Source organism: Homo sapiens, chromosome 11, assembly GCF_000001405.40.
Source record: "Homo sapiens chromosome 11, GRCh38.p14 Primary Assembly".
NCBI classification, from domain to species: Eukaryota; Metazoa; Chordata; class Mammalia; order Primates; family Hominidae; genus Homo; species Homo sapiens.
Genome location: NC_000011.10, coordinates 82,394,469 through 82,404,647, shown reverse-complemented (window position 1 = coordinate 82,404,647; position 10,179 = coordinate 82,394,469). Strand labels below are relative to the sequence as shown.

At 42.4% G+C, this 10,179-nt stretch overlaps 1 long non-coding RNA gene across 1 annotated transcript in view; it reads left to right on the top strand.

Annotated features, from left to right (window-relative positions):
• Positions 1–734: 734 nt before the first annotated feature.
• The window catches only part of MIR4300HG (MIR4300 host gene), a 524,063-nt gene continuing 514,618 nt past the window's right edge, over positions 735–10,179 (top strand). Inside the window, exon 1 of the long non-coding RNA NR_120571.1 lies at positions 735–969. This is a non-coding gene — a long non-coding RNA (MIR4300 host gene). The remainder of the gene's footprint in view (positions 970–10,179) is intronic.

The window sequence follows — 10,179 nt, the reverse complement described above, 5'->3', positions numbered from 1 at the left end:
ATCTGGCCTCACCCACAACCTGCTGATTGGTTAATTTTACAGAGAGCTGATTGGTCCGTTTTGACAGGGTGCTGATTGGTGTGTTTACGATCCCTGAGCTAGACACAAAAGTTCTCCAGGTCCCCACTAGATTAGCTAGACACAGAGTACTGATTGGTGCATTCACAAACCCTGAGCTAGACACAGGGTGCTGATTGGTGCATTTACAAACCTTGAGCTAGACACAGAGCGCTGATTGGTGCATTCACAACCCCTTAGCTAGACATAAAGGTTCTCCAAGTCCCCACTAGACTCAGGAGCCCAGCTGGCTTCACCCAGTGGATCCCGCACCGGGGAGCTGGTGGAGCTGTGGGTCAGTCCCGTGAGGTGCGCTGGCACTCCTCAGCCCTTGGGTGGTCGATGGGACTGGGTGCCGTGGAGCAGGGGGCGACGCTTGTCCGGGAGGCTTGGTTGGTGCAGGAGCCCACGGCGTGGGGGAGGCTCAGGCATGGCGGGCTGCGGGTCCCGAGCCCTGCCCCGCGGGGAGGCATCTGAGGCCAGGTGAGAATTTGAGCGCCTGCCGGCACTGCTGGGGGACCCGGCGCACCCTCCGCAGCTGCCGGCCCGGGTGCTAAGCCTTACTTCACTGCCCCGGGCGGGCGGCTCCGCCGGCTGCTCTGAGTGCTGGGCCGCGGAGCCCACGCCCACCCGGAACTCGCGCTGGCCCGGAAGCGCCGCGCGCAGCCTCGGTTCCCGCCCGTGCCTCTCCCTCCACACCTCCCCGCAACTGAGGGAGCCGGCTCCGGCCTCGGCCAGCCCAGAAAGGGGCTCACACAGTGCAGGGCCGGGCTGAAGGGCTCCTTAAGGGCGGCCAGAGTTGGCGCCAAGGCTGAGGAGGTGCCCAGAGCGAGCGAGGGCTGCCAGGGCTGCTAGCAGGCTGTCACCTCTCAATAGCAGTTTTGTATATGGGATCTAGCCCCTCCCTAAGAGGTGAGTGCAAGTTATTGGCATTCTTGAATTTCTTTCCTACTTTTGGGACCTCAGGCAATAATGGAATGAAAGAAAAACTCGATAAAGGATATCATTTCCACATGCTTTCCTCATATCTCTTCTCACCTCCATGTGTCTGTAGTTGAAAGTCCAAATTTTTGTTTTCTCCTCACAGATTTCCAGATGGACCCGTTATCTTATCAAGTCTAATACCTGTACATTTCCTTTACATTTTTAGGAGTGATTCTACCTTGCACTTTTTTCTTCATGACACTGCAAGCTCCTTTTTTTTTTCCTTAAACTTTTTCCTTGAGGAAAGCAATCACTACCCATTTGATTCTCCCAGTAGGCAATAACCACAGGTACATCAGAGAACATGATCAGTAATTACCCAGACCACATAGGGTAATTTCTGTCAGTTGGTTAGGGCCAATTTCCCCCAGCTACTATTTGGGTAAATGCCAAAAGTACAGATTAACTTTGAAGCCTCTGGAACAATTTCCCTAACCTTCCCTCATGTATCTTATATGTGGGTGAGGGGCAAATGCTGGCAGGCTGATTTTATAAACTCTTTGTGCGTCCCACCACATCGCTGACAGCGTGAGTTACTTGGCATTCTTGATTTTTTTTTTTTTTTTTTTTTTTTTACTTTCCAAGTGGCTGAAGCAATTCTCAACTGTTTTCGTAGTGGTCAACTAACAATCATTGTTTTGGAAAGTTTTAATAACAAAATTTTTATATTATATTCATGAAGAACTGGATGACTGTATTGCTAAGTGGGCTGCAGTACATTTGGACGACAAAGGAGAACTCTGTGGTCATCATGGAGACAGTTATTTACATTTTATGTTCAGCACATGGCTGGTCAGCAGACAGCTCTGGGGCCATCCTGTCATCTGTGGCTTGACTCAAGGACCCATTTGGAGATTTATGTTGCAGATCCTGTACTGCCCGCACAGTAGGGGTCTTTCTGTGTTTGCCAAATTGGAGCCAGAGATTTTATTAAACATCTACATTGGGGATTAAGAAATGTTGATAATTGCAAGCAGAAAAACAAAAGATTTTTACTGAGTTTATGATGAAATCTTCTTGTATAACCTTGCCATTTAATGCACATTTAATAATTGTTCTACCTAGAACAATGTTCCATTGTCTCTGAAAAAGACATGGTGTTTCCTAGCCACCATTTGATAGAGGGAGAAGGGTATACTTTTTATATTCTTCCTTCTTGGGAAACCTAAGTAGTCAAAAAATAGTACGGAGGTTTAGAAACGGGATGAAAAAACTAAGATAAAGATTGGACTTCACAATTTAGGTACACAATGATTATCAATGAGAGGAACAAATTAACTATATCTTTTTCTCATAAAAAAATCATGTGGGGAAGGAAGCCTCTGAGATTTTAGAAGAAAAAAAAATAATTTTGGTGAATTCATCATTGCCCACAATCTGGCCAGTAATTTTCCTTCTTTTTCTTTTTCTTTCTTTCTTTTTTCCTTCCTTCCTCCCTCCCTCCCTTCCTTCCCTCTTTCTCTCTTTCTCTCTTTCTTTATTTTTTAGGGGAGTCTCTTTCTGTTGCCAGACTGGAGTGCAGTGGCACGATCCCGGCTCACTGCAACCTCCGATTCCTGGGTTCAAGCGATTCTCCTGCCTCAGCCTCCCGAGTAGCTGGGATTACAGGCACGCACCACCATGCCCAGCTAATTTTCATATTTTTAGTAGAGGCGGGGTTTCACCATGTTGGCCAGGATTGTCTCGATCTCCTGATCTCGTGATCCGCCTGCCTCGGCCTCTCAAAAGTGCTGGGATTACAGGCGCGAGTCACCGTGCCCGGCCAGCAGTTTTCTTAATCATAATTGTGTGTTCTTGCTTAGTGTGTTGCTTCTTTTTGAACAAGTTTGGATTTTCTCCCATTCTCTTCTCTAATTGTTAAACTACTCTTCATCTTTCAATATCCAGCTCTGACAGGGCCCTTCTGTGAAATTAACTCGTCTACTCTTGGCAGAGATGATAATCTGTCTTCCCTCTATGCCCTGACAAAACTCTTTTTATTCTTATATTTTAAAACCTGCTATGTTTGACCACTAATCAATTTATAATCTATCTTCTATCTGTTCTATCTAATCATTCATCATCATCTATTTATGTATTTTATTCATCATATCTTTCCTATTAAAATGCAAACTCATCTAATAAGGTGAGTCCTGTGTATGATTCAATTTCCTGTCCTACAGTTCTTGGCACATATAGGCATACCTTTTTTTTTTTCTTTGAGCTGAGGTTGCTCTGCTGCCCAGGCTGGAGTGCAGTGGTGTGATCACAGATCACTACAGCCTCAACCTGCTGGGCCCAGGCAATCTTCCTGCCTTAGCCTCCTGAGAAACTGGGATTACAGGCATGAACAACCACAGCCACATAATTCAATTGTATTGCACATCTTTTACAAACTGAAAATTTGTGGTGACCGTGTGTTGACCAAGCCTATTGGCACCATTTTTCCAACAGCATGTGGAAAAATGTCTCTGTGTCACATTTCATATCTCTGTCACATTTTGGTAACTCTTACAATATTTCAAATGTTTCATTATTATTATATCTATTATGATGATCTGTGATCAGTGATCTCTGATGTTACTACGGTAATTGTTTTGGGGTTCCATGTACCACACCTATGAAGATAAGAAACTTAACAGATAAATGTTGTGGGTCTTCTGACTGCTCCACTGACTGGCTGTTCCTCCATCTCTCTCTCTCTCTCTCTCTCTCTCTCTCTCTCTCTCTCTCTCTCTGTCTGTCTCTCTCACTCTCATTTCTCTCTCTCTCTCTCCCTCCATGCCCCCCTCCTTAGGCCTCTCTCTTCCCTGAGACACAACAATATTAAAGCTAGACCAGTTAATAACCTTACAATGGCTTCTAAATATTGAAGTGAAAGGAAGAGCTGCACATCTCTCACTTTAAATCACAGCTAAAAATGATTAAGCTTAGTGAGGAAGGCATGTCAAAAGTCAAGATAGGTCAAAATCTAGGCCCCTTTTGCTAAACGGTTAGCCAAGTTGTGAATGTAAAGGAAAATTTCTTGAAGGAAATTAAAAGTGCTACTCCAGTGAACACACAAATGATAAGAAAGTAAAACAGCCTTATTGCTGATATGGAGAATGTTTTAGTGGTCTGGATAGAAGATCAAACCAGCCACAACATTCCCTTAAGCCAAAGACTAATCCAGAGCAAGGACTTAACTCTCTTTAATTCTATGAAGGCTGACAGAGTTGAGAAAGCTGCCGAAGAAAAGTTGGAAGCTAGCAGAGGTTGATTCATGAGGTTTAAGGAAAGAAGCCATCTCTATAACATAAACGTACAAGGCAAAGCAGCAGGGCTGATGTAGATGCTGCGGCAATTTATCCGGAAGATCCAGCCAAGATTGTTGATGAAGATAGTTGCACTAAATGCCAGGTTTTTCAATGTGGACAAAACAGCTTTCTATTGAAAGAAAATGCCATCTAGGACTTTCACAGCTACAGAGAAGTTCATGCCTGTCTTCAAAGCTTCAAAAGGCATATTGACTTTCTTATTAGGGGATAATGCAGCTTGTGACTTTAAGTTGAAGCCAATGCTCATTTACTATTCAAAAAGTGGAGCCTAAAGATATGACTGAATTGCTGCAATCCCGGATAAAAGTTAAGCAGAGCAGATGAGGAGTTGCTTCTTATGGATGAGTAAAGTAAGTGATATCTTTTTTTTTTTTTGAGATGAAGTCTCACTCTGTCACCCAGGCTGGAGTGCAGTGGCATGATCTCGGCTCACTGCAACCTTTGCCTCCTGAGTTCAAGTGATTCTCCTGCCTCAGCCTCCTGAGTAGTTGGGATTGCAGGCATGTGCCACCATGCCTAGCTAATTTTTGTATTTTTAGTAGAGATGGGATTTCATCATGTTGGCCAGGCTGGTCTCGAACTCCTGACCTCAGGTGATCTGCCCACCTCGGCCTCCCAGAGTGCTGGGATTACAGGCATAAGCCACCATGCCTGGCCAAAAAGTGGTTTCTTGATATGGAAGCTATTCCTGGTGAAGATGCTGTGAACATTGAAATGACAGCAAAGGATTTAGCATATTCCATAAACTTAGTTCATAAAGCAGTGGCAGAGTTTGAGAGGATTGACTCCAAATTTGAAAGAAGTTCTATTGTGGGTAAAATGCTATCAAACAGCATTGCACGCCACAGATAAATCTTTAATGAAAAAAAAAAAAGAGTCACTTGATGCACCAATCTACACTGCTTTCTTATTTTCAGAATTTCCCATGGCCACTCCAACCTTTAGCAACCACCTCTTGATCTGACAGCAGCCATCAACATCTACAAAAGACTTTCCACCAGCAAAAATATGATGACTTGCTGAAGGCTTAGATGATCTTTAGCATATTTTAAATCAATGAAATATTTTAAAATTGAGATCTATACATTATATTGGGACATAATGCTATTGCACACTTCAAAGACTGCAACATGGTATAACTTTTATATGCACTGGGAAACCAAAAAATATGTATGACTTACAGTACTCCAGTGGTATGAAACTGAACCTGCAATATCTCCACTGATAGTAGGTGGCCAAACAACTGAATAATAAAGCAAAAATTCTGAGCAGTGAAGTTCGTTGTAAACACTGAATCTTGAAGGAAGTTAAAAGCTTTATTTTTTGGCTGGGCGCAGTGGCTCACACCTGTAATCCCAGCACTTTGGGAGGCCGAGGCAGGCAGATCACCTGAGGTCAGGAGTTCTAGACCTGCCTGGCCAACATGGTGAAACCGCGTATCTACTTAAAATACAAAAATTAGCCGGGCATGGTGGCAAGAACCTGTAATCCCAGCTACTCAGGAGGCTGAGGCAGGAGAATTGCTTGAACCTGGGAGGCGGAGGTTGCAGTGAGCTGAGATCGCACCATTGCACTCCAGCCTGGGGGATGAGAGCGAGACTTTTTTTTTTTTTTCCTTTAGACTTTGAGCTTTCATTAACCTAACAGTTGGTTCTGGCTGCTGTCTAGCTTTTTGAAGCAGGGACAGGAGATTTCAAAACAGTGCTGCATACACAGAATGCAGATGCTTTTTTTTTTTTCCCCAAGTTCCTTCATTCCAAGGCCATGAACTTTTGCCAAGTTATGAGGAAGTCAGCAAAACAGGAGGCAAGGCATGTGTCCACTCTGAAGCACTTCCCTGATTCATGTGGTCAAGCCAAAACAGTTGTTTTGGGTATCTACTATTTACTAGACACTGGGCAAAAGTCTGCCTGAATGAGTCATGTGATGGGACTTTGCCATCGGTGGAAGTAATGATGGGGGCAGAGTGGGGAGAGCTAAGGCAGCAGTGCTTGTGTATGGTGGCTGATTAAGGGAGAGGTGAATTTCTGGATTGATTTGTGTATCTCTGTGAGCAGAAGCTGAAGAAAGAAAGTTTCCATTCCTCTCCCATTGCCTTAATTTAGATCCTTTTCCTCTCTACAAATATGTATATTTCTGAATTCACACTGATCTCCCTTATATCCCATCATGCACACAGCAGCAAACATTATATTTTTGATCACATTATTATCTTGATGAAAACCTTCAATGACTTCTCACTGACTGCCTTAGCTTAGCTTACAAAGCTCCCTGTCATTCGTGCTATTCCCACCTCTTCAGCCACATTTCTGGCACTCCCTGCCTTGTTTATAAAGTGATAACTTTTTATGTCTAGCTCTGTTTGTTCATAAATACTTTGAGTGTGGAGCCCATATTTCATTTATCTTTTTTCTCCTTAGCTGCTAGCATAATGTCTGCAATACAATAGAAGTTCACTAAATATAAGCACATCGGTTTATTGAGGTCAGGGACCATGCCTTATACATTTCTATTTCTAGCTCTTACCACACTTCCTAGTATATAGTGGTGTTCAAACAATTTTGTTTAAGTCACCTGAACTGAAATTGGGCCTCCACAGCAATAAACATTTGTTAAATAATTAATTTTTTATGAATATATCACCTGTACTACAGTACAACTACAGTGCAGCAGATTTTCTCCAATTATTCTTTTTTTAAAATTATACTTTAAGTTCTAGGGTACATGTGCACAACGTGTAGGTTTGTTACATATGTATACATGTGTCATGTTGGTGTGCTGCACCCATTAACTCGTCATTTACATTAGGTATATCTATCCAATTATTCTTAGTGTGTGACAAATTCATTCTGCTAGCTATCAGCTACTGCAGGCCTGATTTTTCCCAGTTTTCTCTCCAGAAAAGTCAATATTTGCATCCTATACTGTTTCCTGGCTTTATATTGTTTGTTTGATTGTTTGTTTGCAAACTTGAGTTTGCAAGTCCAATTCAGTTAAATTTGATAGCCATATATATTAATTAAAATATAATGTTAGTTTGCACCATATTAATTTGCAAATATTTGAATATCCTTGACTTACAAAAATATTTACTTTATGTGGTGGGCAAAGATAGTTTGATTTTTCTTAATCTTTCTACCTATTTTCCTGGTGATCTGATAAGGGTAGTATGACAACTATTAATATATTGCTAAGTGACATTGCTTGTGATAAAAATGATTGAGTGGCCAGGCATGGTGGCTCACGCCTGTAATCCCAGCACTTTTGTGAGGCTGAGGTGGGTGGATCACGAGGTCAAGAGATCAAGACCATCCTGGCCAACATGGTGAAACCTTGTCTCTACTAAAAATACAAAAGTTAGCTGGGCATGGTGGTACGTGCCTGAACTCTTAGCTACTCAGGTAGGCTACTCAGGCAGCTGAGGCAGGAGAATTGCTTGAACCAGGGAGGCGGAGGTTGCAGTGAGCCGAGATTGCGCAACTGCACTCCAGCCTAGTGACAGAGCAAGACTCCATCTAAAAAAAAAAAAAAAAAAAAAAGAAGATTGAGCAACTACTATTATAGAAGAAACTATATATGAATTATAAATACCCTATGTGAAGGCAATATCTTAGACTTTCTTAGTATGTTAACTCTTGTAATGCCATGTCTTTTGAGGGGAGCCTGGAAGCTAAGCTTGTGGAGTTTTACAAGAGCTATTGATTTCTGTGGAAAGTGAGGCTTCTAAGCTAGGTTGTTTACCACAATGCCTGTGGTACGCAGCCTCCAAAATGGATCCAAAAAATCCCTGACTCCCGGTATTCATGCCCTTATGTAATTTCATTCCCTTAAGTGTAGGCTGGACTTAGTGACTCATCTCTAACAACTAGGATATAACAAAAGTCATGGCCAATTCCAAGATAAGGTTACAAATGGCCCTAGGTTCCTTCTTGTTCATCCTCTCTTGTGCTCTTGTTTGATCGCTCTGATGTAAGCCTGTTAGTACGTTGTGTGCTACTCTCCTATGGAGAAAGCCTAGGTGGCAAGAAACTGAAGGAAGCATCTGGCCAACAGCAAGAACAGAACTGAGGCCTTCAGTCCAATAACCTGTAAGGAACTGAACTCTGCCAACAATCAGGCAATGAGCTTGTAAGTGAATCTTCCCCTAGTGAAGTATTGAGATTACTGCATCCCTGGCTGATGCCTTGATTACAACCTTGTGAGATACCTTGAGCCAGAAGACTCAGGTAAATTGCACCCAGATTCCTGTCCTATAGAAACTGCAAGATTAAAAAAAAGAAGGTTTGTTGTTTTAAGCCAGCAATTTTGGGGCCAATTTGTTATGCATCAATAGATAACTAATACCCTATATGTCTGCAAGTTTCATCTCCTTGCATCTGAGCAGTCATCTGGGAAACATGTATTTCCCAGAGAGCTATGCTGGACCAACACTGATGTGCTGGATCACTGCAAGGATTCCTGATGGTGAGGAATGTTTGATGCTACCCTACTGGCAAGTGGATTCTGTTCTATATTCTACTGATGCCTATGGTAGTGTGTGAGTCAGAATTTTAGTTGTACATGTGAAGATCTCCCTGACAGCTGCAGATTAGAGTTAAGCCTAATATATCCAGCTACTGTGTTGGAAACTGGAAATAGAATTATAGAGAGAGTGTATGATCTCCAGGAAAATAGACATGTAGGCAAATAAAATAGAATATCAGATGTTATCATTTATTAAATAACTATACTATTTTAGGCTTGGCCCTTGGATCTTTACTCATCGCTATAGTTGTTATATTATTTCTATTTAATAGATTATTATTCTTTATTATTATTATTATTCCTATTTAATAGATTAAAAAACTGAACCTGGCTGGGTGTGGTGGCTCATGCCTGTAATCCCAGCACATTGGGTGGCTGAGGCAGACCGATTGCTTAAGCCTAGAAGTTTGAGGCCAGCCTGGATAATATGTGAAACCCCATCACTACAAATAATACAAAAATTAGCCAAGCCTGGTGGCAAGTGCCTGCAGACCCAGCTACTTGGGAGGCTGAGGTGGAAGGATTGCTTGGGCCTGGGAGGTCAAGCTACAGTGAGCTGAAATCATGCCACTGCACTCCAGCCTGGGTGACAGAGACCCTGTCTCCAAAAACACAAAACAAAACAAAACAAAACAGAAACAAAAAACTGAACCTAAGAAAAGTTAGTTGATTGAGCCAGTGTGTTAGTCGTTTTTATGATGCTATGAAGGAATACCATAGACTAGGTAATTTATAAAGAAGAGAGATTTATTTCTTTCACAGTTCTGCAGGATGTTCAAGTGTGACACCAGCATCTGCTCAACTTCTAGTGAGGCCTCAGGAAGCTTATAACTCATGGCAGAAGGTGAAAGGTGAGCAGGTGTGTCGCATGGCCAGAGAGGGAGCAAGAGACATGCCAGGCTCCTTCAAGCAACCTGCTCTTGAACTAACAGAGAGAGAACCCACTCATCACCAAGGGTTTAATGCTAAACCATTCTTAAGGGATCCATCCTCATGATCCAACACGTCCCACTAGGTCCTACCTCCAAAACTGGGGGTGACATTTTAACATGAGATTTGGAGGAGACACATATCCAAACCATATCAGCCACTATTACAGACTTCAGAAGTGACAGATCTGGGATTGAATCCAGAGTGTGTTTGTTTAAATACCTGTCAATCTTAGGCAATGTTTACCCCATCTTTCTTCTGGGAACCCTGCATACTGTCTTTGGATTCCAAGACACTGTATTTCTTGATTGTATTTCCTGGGCTTCTAATTCTAATTTTTTTTTTAAAACAGATACACACACACAATACATATGTATATATAAAATAT